The sequence below is a fragment of the Homo sapiens genome, chromosome 13, assembly GCF_000001405.40.
Source record: "Homo sapiens chromosome 13, GRCh38.p14 Primary Assembly".
Taxonomy (NCBI): domain Eukaryota; kingdom Metazoa; phylum Chordata; class Mammalia; order Primates; family Hominidae; genus Homo; species Homo sapiens.
Window position 1 is genome coordinate 94,756,112 of NC_000013.11, and position 14,353 is coordinate 94,770,464.

Genomic DNA, 14,353 nt, shown 5'->3' on the forward strand with positions numbered 1-14,353 from the left:
AGCTCCCATTTATAAATGAGAACATGCAATATTTGGTTTTCTGTTCCTGTGCTAATTCACTCAAGATAATGGCCTCCAGCTGCATCCATGTTGCTGCAAGGGCACAATTTTGTTCTTTTTTATAGCTACATAGTATACCATGGTGTACTGCATTTTCTTTATCCAGTCCATTGTTGATGGGCATCTACGTTGATTCCATGTCTTTGCTATTATAAATAGTGCCAAAATGAACATATGAATTCATGTATCTCTTTGGTAGAATGATTTATATTCCTTTGGGTGTATACTCAGTAATGGGATTGCTAGGTTGAATGGTAGTTCTAAGTCCTTTGAGAAATCTCGAAAATGCTTTCCACAGTGGCTGAACTAATTTACATTCCCACCAGCAATGTGTAAGAGTTCTCTTTTCTCTGCAGCCTCCCAAATATCTGTTAATAGCCATTCTGACTAGTGTGAGATGGTGTCTCATTGTGATTTGGATTTGCATTTCTCTAATTATTAGTAATGTTGAGCATTTTTCCTATGCTTGTTGGATATATGTGTCTTCTTTTGAAAAGAGTCTGTTCATATCCTTTGCCCATTTTTTAATGGGGTTGTTTTTCACTTGTTGATTTGTTTAGGTTCCTTACATATTCTGGATATTAGGCCTTTATCAGATGCATAGTTTACAAGTATTTTCTCCTATAGATTGTCTGTTTACTTTGTTGTTGCAGCTGCTTTTGGAGACTGTCACGAAATCTTTGCAAAGGTTTATGTCTAGAATGGTATTTCCTAGGTTTTATTCTAGGGTTTGTATAGTTTGAGGTCTTACATTTAAGTATTAATCTATCTTGAGTTGATTTGTATATACAGTGAAAGGAAGGGGTCCAGTTTCAGTCTTCTGTGTATGACTAGCCAGTTATCCCAGGATCACTTATTGAATAGGAAGTCCTTTTCTCATTGCTTGTTATTGTCAACTCTGTTGAAGATCAGATAGTTGTAAATGTGAAGCTTTATTTCTGGGTTCTCTGTTTTATTGGTCTATGTGTCTGTTTTTGTACCATGCTGTTTTTTTTTGGTTACCGTAGCCTTGTAGTATAGTTTGAAGTCGGATAATATGATACTCCCAGATTTGTTCTTTTTGCTTAGGATTGCTTTAGCTATTCGGGCTCTTTTTTGGTTCCATGCGAATTTTATTTATTTTTGTTTATTTTTTTCCCCTCTGGAACATTCAAATTCACTGTTCCAAAGTTTAACTAAAAACACAATTTGCAAATATTTAATATCTACTGAAAAGCATTTCTAAGTTAAGAATGAAAAAGTATATACATAATATATAATCAAATACCATGTGCTTCAACTCCCACCAGGTCCACACTCAGCAACATCCATCTTTTTAGGTTCTTCAAGATCTTCTGTTAAATCTACAAAATTGTTTTCCATGCTGGGGGAAGGAATGGAAATCCCCATTGCTTTTTGAAATTCATACAGGCTTACAATATCACCTGGAGTTACTTGCTGTGCAAGTTTTTAAGATTATTGGTCACTTGTTCAGTGAGATGCATTTCTCTGCAGGAGGCACCCAAGAGACAGATCATACTGGGAGGGGGTCTGGTGCTCAAATGCTCGTTCCGGGCTTCCTGGAGCTCCCTGAACAATTTGGTGGCCTCATCAAGTTTCTTCTGAATACTTCAGGTTCTTCAGAGTCAAAAACTTCAACTGGAGCGCCAAAGTTTACTACTTTCAGTGTGTGAGCCTGTCTTGAGTATTGGGGTCCAGATGCCCTGCTGGGTCTAGTTCTATAATCTCCATTTCTTTTGCTGGGCCAAGTGTCTTAGTATGGCCTTCATCTTCAGGCAATGACATCTCCAACTCTTGTAGGGTCCTGGAATTCCCTCCTTTTGTGAAAACATCCAGTAAACTATCTGCCATAACATATGGATAATCTTGGCATGTGGCCCAAAACTCATGGATGCTGAAATCTCTTGGAAGATCAGAGTCTTCCCCATAGGTTGGATAGATTAAATCAGAATGATCCTTGCTGATATTTGTAAACGTGGAGTCATACGTGGTGCATAAGAACTGTAGGTCCAGAATTCAAGTCTCACACTTCTGCAATGGGATCCACAGGGTGGAGAAGTCCCAACGTTGTTGTTCCATCTGGTTTTCTTCTTTCAAATTCACACTGACGGTTCACAGGCTGTCTGGTCAGCTTTCCTCCAGATTCCTTCATAACTTGGTCAAGCTGCTCCTGCTCTCTCTCTCTGAATTATTGCTTTTAAACTTATCTTCAAGCATATCTTTGTCTATATTTTAATTTTCTTTGCCGGGACTCTGGAAGGCTTGTGCTTCGGCATCTCCAGAGTCCTCTCTCCCTGGGCCAGCAGCCTTCGTCCTCCCCACTCTGCCTCCATCCTCCCCAGTCTGTTCTATCTTTCTGCTTTCGAGTTTTCTGCAAGTCAGCCATGAAGTCTATGCTCTGCTTCAGGCTCTGAATTCTTTCCTGGCTAAGAATAGTCATCCCCCAGTGCAACAGCTTCTTTGCAGCTGTATAATAAATGGTCTCTGGTTTGTTGTAAATCATGGCATTAGTGCACATTAGTTTGAAGTTATCCTTTAGTTCTATCGACTGGTAGTCATTGTTCTTGACCTTTTCTTTCATAGTGCTAAAATCCCTTGGGTGTTTAATGATCATGGAGTAGCCAGGAGCAATAAAATCAGTCACAGGAAATGAAAAGAAAGCACTTGGGTCTTTTCTCTGCAATTGTCTCATCAGTTGATTCAAAGCTTCTTGAAGGGGTGTCTGTTCTACTTCTTCTTGTTTGGCTAAAGAGCTTGTGAGAGGATCTCACACGGGCATGACACTGGAGGTCTTTTTCTGCCTCATTCTCCACAAGGTCTCGATCTCGCTTCTTTTTATCCTCCCTAACTCTCCTCCGTTTTCTCTCTTTTTCTTCCCCTGGATCCTGCTTCTCTCCTTTCTTTCTCTTTTTCTGCTTTCTGTCCTTGTATTTGTCATGATCTTATTCGCCTTCGAAGAGGCTGGAGTCGTGCCCTGAGCTGCCCGTGGAGAATTCGGTGACTTCGTTCCCTCCTACTTTGAGGACCAGCCTCAAGGGCTTCTCTACATACCCCTCATAGAAGTGTTTGTCTGACTTGCGCTCCTTGTGCTTCTTGCCCCTGTCCAGCTGGCCCCGGTGCCCGCCCCCAGAGCCAGGAGCAGGCACGCAGCGCAGCTTCCGGTCCAGGCCAGGCCCGCGCAGGGCGGGAGCGGCCCCTTAGAGGCCCTGCGCGCCGGAGGCAAGGGGGCGGCGCGAGGTCCCTCTCAACCCATGTGAATTTAAGAAGAGTTTTTTCTAATTCTGTGAAAAACGATGTTGGTAATTTGATAGGAATAGCACTGAATCTGTAAATTGCTTTGGGCAGTATGGCCATTTTAGCAACATTGATTCTTCTTACTCATGAGCATGGAATGTTTTTCCATTTGTTTTTGTTGTCTCTGATTTCTTTCAGCAGTGTTTTGTAACTCTTGTTGGAGAGATTGTTCACCTCTGTGATTGGCTGTATTCCTAGGTATTTTATTCTTTTTGTGGCTGTTGTGAATAGAATTGTATTCTTTTATTATTATTATACACTATCCTTCTGCAGCATAGAATTGCATTTTTGATTTGGCCCTCAGCTTGGATGTTTTTGATGTATAGAAATACTACTGATTATTGTGCGTTGATTTTGTATCCTGAAATTTTACTGAAGTTGTTTATCAATTCTAGGAGGCTTTGGGCAGAAGCTGTGGGGATTTCTAGGTATAGAATCATATTGTCTATGAAGAGAGATCATTCAACTCACTCTTTTCCTATTTGGATTCCTTTTATTTCTTCCTCTTGCCTGATTGCTTTGGCTACGACTTCCAGTATTATATTGAATAGGAGTCATGAGAGTGGGGATCCTTCTCTTGTTTCAGTTCTCAGGGAGAATGCTTCCAGCTTTTGCCTGTTCAGTATGATATTGGCTGTGGGTTTGTCATAGATGGAGACCTGAATTATCAGGTCCTAGTGGATACCTGAATTATCCTAGTTAATATAATGCTTAATTTGAAATCTGATTCTTTTTTCTTCCCCAATTCTTATTAATGATTTAATATCTTCTCTACCTTATCTTACATATTTTGAACTACATTTGAATAACTACATTGCATTCATTTTTTTGTACTAATGTTTACATTGTTTCTCTTTGAGTTCTACAGACTTATCTCTAGCTTTTATACATAATTTTTACATAATATTAATATTAAGATGTGATTTACAGTGTACTCTCTTCTTAAAATTATTCATTTTACCATATTTTGTGGTTTCAAAGAGCTTTCAAATTTATTTTTGCCTGCTCTTTCCCTTCCTCCTTCTCTTCCTCTTTCTTCCTTTACAATCCAGAAGTCTTCTTCTTCTTCTTTTTTTTCACCTGTTATACCATGAATTCAGTTAATAGACTCCAGCAGCTCAGGCTCCTTTTCATTGGTTCTTACAAAGTGTGCTTCTCTGGGTGGAACAGGCTGCAGCTTCAGGTTTCTCTTTAGCTTCCCTCTTTATGCTGGTTATTTTCCTTCACACACTTTCAGGAAATCATCTTGGCTCTTAGAGTGCTTAATATGCCCAATATGCATATTAATTCTCTTGGCAAGAATCTTGCCCTTAACTTGTTTGTTTACAATGATGCCAACAGCATGCTAGGTAACTTTGTAGACTCTTTTAGTTTTGCCATGGTGACATTTGTGAGGCATTTCTTTTTGGACAGTACCCATTCCCTTGGTGTCTACATTATCGCCTTTCTTGTAGATATGCACTTATGTTGCCAAAGGTACAACTCCGTTTTCTCAAAGGCCTAGGGGACCTCAGCAGTTGCCTCTCTTCTTTCCTCTGTGTTCGTCATTTTATCAAATTACTGGAAGCTGGGAGTTGAGGCCAAAAGGTACTTTCCTCTTCTTAAAAGTAACCTGAGTGTTGTATCTCTTCTCCTTGCCTGGAATTGTGCTATTTCTTGCATTCTTCTTCTTCTGGGACTCGAATTCTAACTGTTAGACTTGCTTCTTGTTTTCTCTGGCTTTTGCCTTTATTGATGTCTCCCTTCCTTCCCCTTTCTCCCCATCTCCTTTGCTTCTCTTTCTTTCCCTTCATTTTTTCTTCCTTTTTTGGGGAAACTTCAAGGTTCTCTCTTCTAAGGAAACATTTATTTACCTTCTATCTGTTGTTTTTGGATCATGCCAAACCATCATTTGAGTTTTGTTTTCTCTCATGTTCCCTCCTGAAATCCATCCTGTTAATCCTCCCTGGCATTCCACCCCTCACAGTTCCATCCCATTCTCTTCTCCCTGTTCCCTTCTCTTACACTCAGAAAAGTTCTGTGCACTTTTGGGGCATGTTACCTGTTTTGATTTTTTCTTCTGTGTTTTCATTCTGAGCTCTTAGAGCTGGCCCAGCAAACCTGCCTGGGCTTAGCAGTAAACCTGTGTCCTTTTCTATTACAAAGAGCAGACACATCTCCATAACCAAGACATTCCAACAGAGGAATGTGTGTGTGTCCGGGGGGATGTGTGTGTGTTTCTGTATCAACTTTAATCTTTTGCTGACTCGAAAAGTCAAACCAAGTTAAAGAAAATCATAAAACAGCCCAAAACAGACAGGTTTGATATTCCCTCTTTCTTCAGGTCTATATTATATATTTCCTTATTCCAATCAAATATTTACTGTTATTTTTACTGAAAATGTTACTGCAACAAAAATATCTTTTTATTACTATACTGTACACTTTAAAATGGCTAAGATGGTCAATTGAATATTTTTAATTTTTTTTTGTTTGTTTGTTTTTTGAGACAGGGTCTCACTCTGTCACCTAGACTGGAGTGCAATGGTGTGAACACAGCTCACTGCAGCCTTGACCTCCCAGGCTGAAGTGTTCCTCCTGCCTCAGCTTCCTGAGTAGCTGGGACTACAGGCATGCACCATCATGCCCAGCTATTTTTTTTTTTTTTAATTTCAGTAGAGATGAGGTCGCACTATGTTGTCCATGCTGGTCTCAAAACTCCTGAGTTCAAGTGATCCTCCTGCCTCAGCCTCCCAATGTGCTAGGATTACAGGCATGAGCCAGCACTCCTGACCTTCAATTGAGTTATATGTGCTTTTCACCACAAAAAAAATTTTAATTGAGACCACAGTGTTTTCCATCTCCATAGGTATGTTCTTAAGGAGAATGAATTGCATTCTGAATCATTAGGAATGTTTTCCAAAAGCACTTATCTTTTCCTCTTAATACTGCATCCAAAATAAATGTTTTTTCCCCTAATAATATGAATCACCCACTAAACTCTTTGCTTCCTAAGATTTGAATTGTAAAGGTTCTTGTATGAAGAAAAAGCTCAATAAGTGTTTGTTGGATGAATAGGGAAACCTTAATTTATCTCATGCCAGTTGTAATAATAATTAATATCTTCAGCACCACTACTATTACATCATATTTACCACAACAGCTAACATGTATTGGCACTTGCTATGTGCCAGGGAATAACCCTTCAGAGATATTATCTAATCATAGCAGCTGTATGTAACTTTGTTTTTCTTTAAAATAACTTAATTCGGATTTCAAGATCTCATTCTATCAAGGTTATAGCTGCTTTTATCTCAGACACTTCTGGGTTGTTTTTGAGTTTGTTTCTGGGTTGTTTTTCTAAGTTTTAGGGTAGAGACAGACACTTTTTTTTAACCAATATAACTGCCCCCACCCCAACTCCTTTATTTACAGACTCTTGATACCATATTGAGCAGCGAAGTGCCAGCTGACTATTCCTTTTCTTTGCCTTCTTTGCAGCTGGGGTAACCAATTCTGGCCAGTGAGACATAAGAAGAAGTCAGCTGGAAATTTCTAGCAAAGCTTTTGATTTCAGATGGCTTGATGCTAGCTCCTCCCTCCCTCTTCTTTCTTCCTGCTTTGATCTCAGATATGATCCCTGGAGCTGGGGCAGCAATCTTATGACCATGCAGGAAAAGCCAAAAATTACAAACACATTGTTGAACTATAGAACCAATTTGTAACCATCTGTTTTTTGGACATCTTATTATGTGAGAGAAATAAAGGTCTCTTTCTAAAGTCATTAGAATTGTCTTTTATGCTACTTGCAGCTGAATGTATTCTTAAGTAATACATGAGAGTTATAGAGTGCCATGGGTGTGATGGTTCTATTTTGTATTAGGGTCACTATTATCCCATCTGGTCCTTCATTACCATTCCACACAGGTCATCACTGAGGTGCCTTGTATGGAATGATTGTTGTAAGCCCTGCAACCTTCTATTCTAGATCTTTGCTATGATGGTGTTGATGGCAAGGGTCCCATCTGTTTCTGTGCCACTCAGGGATACGAGGATATTTTCAAGGCTGGCTATGGCTCTGTGGTGGACTATTACAATGATGGCTCTGATTTAACCACACCTTTAGGTATTCATGCCTTATATAGTCCTCCCCACACTGACTCTAGACTTGGTCTCATGACTTACTTTGGCTGATGGGTCATTGGCAAACAGTGCAAGCAGAGGCTCAGTAAGCTGCTTGTACATTGGGACTGGTCTGCTTGGAATGTTCCCAGCCACCATAGTATGAGAAACCCAAGCCCTACAGTGAAGCCAGTAGAAGAAAACTGAGACACTCCAGTTGACTCCCAACTGAGCAACCAGCCAACCACTATGAGCAACTGCCACCTATGCAAGTAAGCCATCTTGGGTAGTCCAACCAATTGAGCCTCCAAATGACTCCAGCCTCAGGTGAACCATATGGAGCAGGCATCTGAGCCTGGGTAATTCACAGAATCATAAGAGGTAATAAAATGCTTGATGACTTAAGCCACTAAGGTTTGGGGTATTTTGTTTCACAGTAATAGCTAACAGGAAAAGACCTCTTCTTCTTAGGTACAAAATGATTTAGAGAGTCACAGTGTTATAATGAATAGTACAGCTATACAATTATTAAAATAGATAAGTATTTGCTTTTGCATTTTTGCTGCAAGTCCTATATATATAGTGCATATGAAACACAAGAAACCTGATACATTTATAAGCCATTTCGAAACACTACATTTTCTATTCTTTTCCACTTAGCATTTATATAGTGCTCATTATCACAGAATATAGGGGCTTTACAATATTATTATTTAGCATTTATATAACACTTTTTGCCTTCAGTGTATACTACAAATTATTTTACTTTAAAATCATTTAAATTTTAAAAGTACTTTAAAATCATTTAAATTTTAAAATTATTTCATAACTCTTTTTGCAGAGGAGAAAATATATAATAGAGCCTGAAGATGTAGTTGTATTGCTTCAGTCTCATGATAAAACTTGAGTGGATGAGGAGTTGCTTCTTATGAACGAGCAAAGAAAGTGGTTACGTGAGAGGGAATCTACTCCTAATGAAGATCCTGTAAGTATTGTCAAAATGACAACAAAGGATTTAAATATTACATAAATGTTGTTGATAAAGCAGCTGCAGGGCTTGAGAACATTGACTCCAATATTTAAAGAAGTTCAACTGTGGGTAAAATGCTATCAAACAGCACTGCATGCTACAGAGAAATCTTTCATGAAAGGAAGACTCATTTGATGTGGCAAACCTCATTTTTTTTTCATTTTAAGAAATTGCCACAGTCATCCCAACCTTCAGCAACCACCCGCTGATGAGTCAGCGTCCATCAACATGGAGGCAAAACCCTCCACTAGCAAAAAGATTACCACTCACTGAAGACTCAGATGGTGATGACCATTAGCATTTTTTAGCAATAAATTATTATAAAACTAAAATATGTTCATTGTTGTTTCAGACATAATGCTATTGTACACTTAATAGATTATAGTATAGTGTAAATGTAACTTTTATATGCACTGGGATATCAAAATATTTGGGTGACTCACTTTACTGAGAGATTAACTTTATTGTGGTGGTCTGGAATGGAACCCACAATATCTTTGAGGTATGCCTGTAGTGAAATATCCCAGCACTGTGTCAGTCAACAATGACAACAGTCCTGGGCATTGATGAAGTTCAAGAATTGTGTATTCCATGAATATGCCTTCTGAGCTCCTCTCCTCTTAACAAACCCTCTAGAGTGGTTCCCATGGTGCTCCCTGTTAATGTGGCAAAACAGCATTTCAGCATGGCTGAGGGAGCTCTGACAAAGATGTCCTGAAAGCATTGTCCTGCATGTGCCCTGTTTGGGAAACCTGAGGGAAGCCTTAAGGCTACAGTTAATTAGGAATGAATTTTTTAATCAATGGTTAGGAATAATGGACTTTACTATTAACGTTTTTTGAAGAATGAATATTAAGATTATGATTATTATCAAGAGTTTTAAATGACATAATAAAATGCTTGTAAAATTATCTCAAGTGTTAACTGCAAAGTACAAAAGTGTATTGAAGTGTGATCTCAACTTTGTAAGTATAGACACAAATATTTATGGAGATCTGCATGGGAGATTGAAAGGAAATATGCCAGAATCTTTACAGTGATTATTTCTAGAAATGGGATTATGAAGGATTGCTTTTATATCCCTGTTCTTTTAAAATATTCCGTAAGTAGGTGTTACTCCTAGAATTATAAAAAGTTATATATTTTTCTTTAGAGACTTTATTTGTTGGATTTGGTTTGAAGAGTTATACATTTGTACAATTCAAATATCAAAATGCTTTAACAGGGTAAACATTGAGAGGTCTTACTGAGGATGGAGGCAGGACGTGACTCAGGAGGCAGGACGCAATCAACTTCAGAGGCAGGGCCCAGACACCGGACCAAATTGAGGACTAACTAAAACAGGGAGGAGGTGGAAGCACCTTTCCATAAGACACACCTACCAGTGTGCCATGTCAGTTTACCATTGCCATGGCAACAACCGGAAGTTACCACCCCTTTCCATGGCAACAACCCAACAACCCAGACGTTACCATCCTTTTTCTAGAAATGTCTGCATAATCTGCCCCTTAGTTTGCACATAATTAAAAACGGGTATAAATATGACTGCAGCACTGCGTCTGAGCAGCTATTCTGGGCACACTTTCTATGGGGTAGGCCTACTCTGCAGGGAGCAGTACTTCTGCTGCTGCTGTACACTGTTGGTCCAATAAAAGTTGCTAATACCACTGGTTTGCCCTTGAATTCTTTCCTGGGGGAAACCACGGACCTTCCCAGGCTAAGCCCCAATTTGGGGGCTGCGTCATCACCTCTACTCTGGTTTTCATCTCCTCCACTTCTCTATGAACAACTACTCATTTAGTTTCCTCTGCATTCTTCCTGAGTTCTTTTTGCAGATATAAGCAAATTTGAAAGCATGTTGTTATCCTCTCCCCTTTCTTACACAAAAACAACATTACATACACTGCTTTGATCCATGGACTGTAGAATGGATGTACTATTAGCAGATGTACTAGTCAGTTCTCACATTGCTTTAAGAAATACTTGAGACTAGGTATTTTATACATAAAAGAGGTTTAATTGGCTTGGGGTTCTGCAGGCTGTACAGGAAATACGATGCTGGCATCTGCATGACTTGGAAAGGCCTCAGGAAACTTACAATAATGGCAGAAGGTGAAGGGGGAGAGAGGTGTCTTACATGGCAGGAGCAGCAAGAGCAAAGGGAGAGGTGTCACACACTTTTAGACAACGAGATCTCATGAGAACCCACTCACTGTCACCAGAACAGCACGAAGGGGATAGTGCTAAACCATTCATGAGAAACATCTCCATGATCCAGTCACCTTGCATCAGGCTCCACTTCAAACACTGGGAATTACAATTCCACATGAGATATGGGTGGGGACACAGACCCAAACCACCTCAACAGGCATGAAAACAACATTAATTTCTTTGTACATCTCCATCAGAGCTCATAAGTGACCAGGTATATTGTCAATGAGCAGTAATGTTTGGAAAAAAGCAATGTTTTTCTGAGCAGTAGTTCTCAATAGTGGGCTTAAAATATTCAGTAAACCATGTTTTAAACAAATGTGCTGTCATCTGGACTTTATTTTCCCCTTTTCAGAGCACAAGTAGAGTAGATTTAGTGTCATTCCTAAGGACCCTAGGATTTTCAGAATGGTTAATGAGCATTGGCTTTAACTTAAAGTCTCCAGTCACATTAGCCCCTAACAAGAGAGTCAGCCTCTTCTTTTAAGTTTTAAAGCCAAGCATTGTCTTCTCTCTAGCTATGAAAGTCCTAGATGGCATCTTATTCCAATCCAAGGCTGTTTTGTCTCCACTGAAAATTTGTTAGCAAAGCTACCTTTATCAATGATCTTAGCTAGATCTTCTGGATAGCTTGTTGCAGCTTCCCCATCAGCACTCGCTGCTTCACTTTGCACTTTTATGTTATGGAGAAAACTTTATTCCTTAAACCTCGCAAACCAACTCTGCCAGCTGTCAGTTTTTCTTCTGCAGCTTCCTTACCCTTCTCAGCCTTCATTCATTGAAGCTTAATTATTTCTAGCTTTTGACTTAAAGTGGGAGACTTGTACCTCTTTCTTTCACCTGAATACTTAGAGGTCATTGTAGGGGCTATTAATTGGCCTAATTTTAATATCACTGTGTCTCAGGGAATAGGGAGACCCAAGGAGGGGGAGAGATGGGGAAACAATGGTCAGTAGAGCAGTCAGAACAAAAACAACATTTATCAATTAAGTTCATTGTCTTATATAGGTATAGCTCATGGCACCCCAAAACAATCACAATAGTAACATCAAAGATCACTGCTCTCAGATCAACAAAACAGATATAGTAATAATTAAAATGTTTGAAATATTTCAAACTTTGAAATTTGAATATTGTGAGAATTACCAAAATGTGACACAGAGACACAAAGTGAGCGATATACTCGCTCAGCGCAGGATCGACACGAACCTTCAATTTGTAAAAATGCTGTAGTATCAAATATTTGTGTTGCTGGTAAAACTTGGAATGGAGAGGAAAGACAAGAGGATGTCAAGAGGTGGTCTTTGTTTAATGAGTTATTCATAAGCACACTTATTATGTAGCTCTTCCAGTACTACAGTGGGGGGTGTGTGTGTGTGTGTGTGTGTGTGTGTGTGTGTGTGTTTTGCATGTTGGTCCTTTTTTTTTACAAATGAAATATATAAACATATTGAAATGAAGTTTAGCAAGAAGTCACACAGTCTTGTAGTTAGGTTATAGAAGATTTAAAGTTGAAAGACTTGCATCTGAATTCTGGTTCTGACTCTTAAAAACTGTCTTTTTTTCAAAACTCTCTGTGGGGGTGAGGGGAGGCCCTGTAGCCCACCCAACTCCAAACTAAAGAGTCCGAACTAGATTTGGTAGATGTGTCTTTATTTATATTTGTATATATTTTGTTAACAGGGCTATAGCATGATTGAAATAATATTCAGCAGAGGCTAATTTGGCAATGATCTGGCAGATGGAATGGAGAAAAGAGAGACAGAGACAGCAGACTTGGGAGTAGTCCAAGGGAATAAAGGAGGGAATGGAAAAAGGAGACTGTGAAGGAAGAACTGATGGGGTTTGAAAATTGCTTTAATGCTAGGGGCAAGAAAAATGGAAACAAATTAGCAAAAAGACCTATATTTAAAAGAGCAGGTGGTGAGGGATTAATTTGGAAGTGGGAAAGGGCAAATAATGAGTTTAGTTTCAAACAAGCTGAGCTTCAAATGCAATATATACACAAAGAAAGAAAGGGGAGTAGCAAGATGAGATGGGCAAGAAAAGTTAAATATGTGGGTAAAAGAATTCAGATGCTAAACCAGAACTGGGGGCAGCATGAGAGACACATGGTAAGGATGTTCCCAAGATGGTCTGGCAAAGGTTCTCTTTGGATCCATAAGGCAACAGAAAACACAGATTATTTAATGAAATTGAAACAATAAGCAGAATATTGAGGAGTGACACCAAATTTGACTGAAAGCTCCATTCTAAAGAGATGAATAATTCTTAACGTGAGACGGGGGGTTTATGATATATCAACTTAAGAAGTACTAGAATCTAAAGCCATTGTCTTCAAGTGGGGACTCCAGGGAACACCCAGCAGTTGATGAAATCAGAAAATTTTTATGTCATCCCAAAGGAAACTGAGATACAAAAGATTGAGATACACTGCCCCTGCTGACTGTGAACAACCTTTAAAATCTGCCCTTGGCTTTGGGAATGCTTTGAATGAATTTGCTGTGAGTTGCTTAAGAAGAGGCAGAGGGCGGAGTTTGCAACTAGAATTGTTAGGAAGAAATGAATTGGATTACAGAGATAGAGAAGATGCATTCTCATTCTAACGCCCAAATATATTAGGTCTTTAGGTAACTGAATAGACAGGAAAAAAAACAAATAGCAAAAGCATAGACTACAGTTTCCCCTTGAGGTGGTAGCCTACATGAAGCAGTTGAGAGAAGCATGAAAAGTAGTTTCTTACAAGAACTTTAATCAGTCTTTGATTATCGACATTGGTCTATGTACCTTGCAGATTAACCTTGGAAGTTACCTTGTTTTCTTCTAGTTGGCTACCTCAAATTGACAATTCCAAAGAGCATACACCCATTTTCATTTAAGAATATATAAAAACGCATTAAAAATTTTTCCATGAAAATAATTCATAATTGTTTGCTTTCCAAAATCCAGTGTGAAGAGATTTTTAAATCATCTGATAATTTAGGAAGATCTATATTAATACAGTGTTTCAATAATATCTTGAAAATCAGATTGAATGACTTCCTGGAGTGAAACATTCCCAGTCCTAAATCATTCTCTGGGAAGGGAGACATATTTGAACAGCTGTATATCAGTTTTTTTTTGTCTCATTATATACAAGTCTTTGTATTTTCCATGTCCCCAGGTCAAAGACCACCAGAGACACAAAGTTGGTTTATTGATGGAATTGGGTCAGTTGGCTCATTGTGATGAGGGAGACCTCACATCACGAGGCACCATGGGGCATCTCAGTAAGAGGATGTTGAAAAGATCTTATTATAGGCCTGGGACATGTTTAGGAGATTTTAGGGAGTGTTCAAGGCTGCTGTCAGGAAGGAGGGACTATTCCACGACTGACATTTTTACATTGCAGGTGAGAAGAACAATGCAAGGCTAACATTGTAATTGTCAAAGCAGCAGCAGTCACTAGGCCCGAATATGGGATGTTTGGATGGTTTTGTGGCTTGGACAATATTCTTGTTTTGTCTTGATAGATCAGACAAAACAATGGCCTTGAATGACATTGGTATCCTGTGCTGTGAAACAGCTTATGTTAAATGGATGAACACCATGGCCTAGCTGTGGGTGGCGAGCCAGCTCGTAGCAACACTGGGGCCTCGCTGATAGTACCAGCCCTGC

At 39.2% G+C, this 14,353-nt stretch overlaps 1 long non-coding RNA gene and 2 pseudogenes across 1 annotated transcript in view; 1 reads left to right on the forward strand and 2 right to left on the reverse strand.

The window, feature by feature from the left end:
* Nucleotides 1,199-3,306, reverse strand: BRD7P5 (bromodomain containing 7 pseudogene 5; annotated as a pseudogene).
* RPL21P112 (ribosomal protein L21 pseudogene 112) lies at nt 4,403-4,942 on the reverse strand (annotated as a pseudogene).
* LOC101927284 (uncharacterized) overlaps nt 4,830-14,353 on the forward strand; it is a 174,470-nt gene continuing 164,946 nt past the window's right edge. Inside the window, exons 1-2 of the long non-coding RNA NR_110754.1 lie at nt 4,830-4,941; nt 8,297-8,440. This is a non-coding gene — a long non-coding RNA (uncharacterized LOC101927284). The remainder of the gene's footprint in view (nt 4,942-8,296; nt 8,441-14,353) is intronic.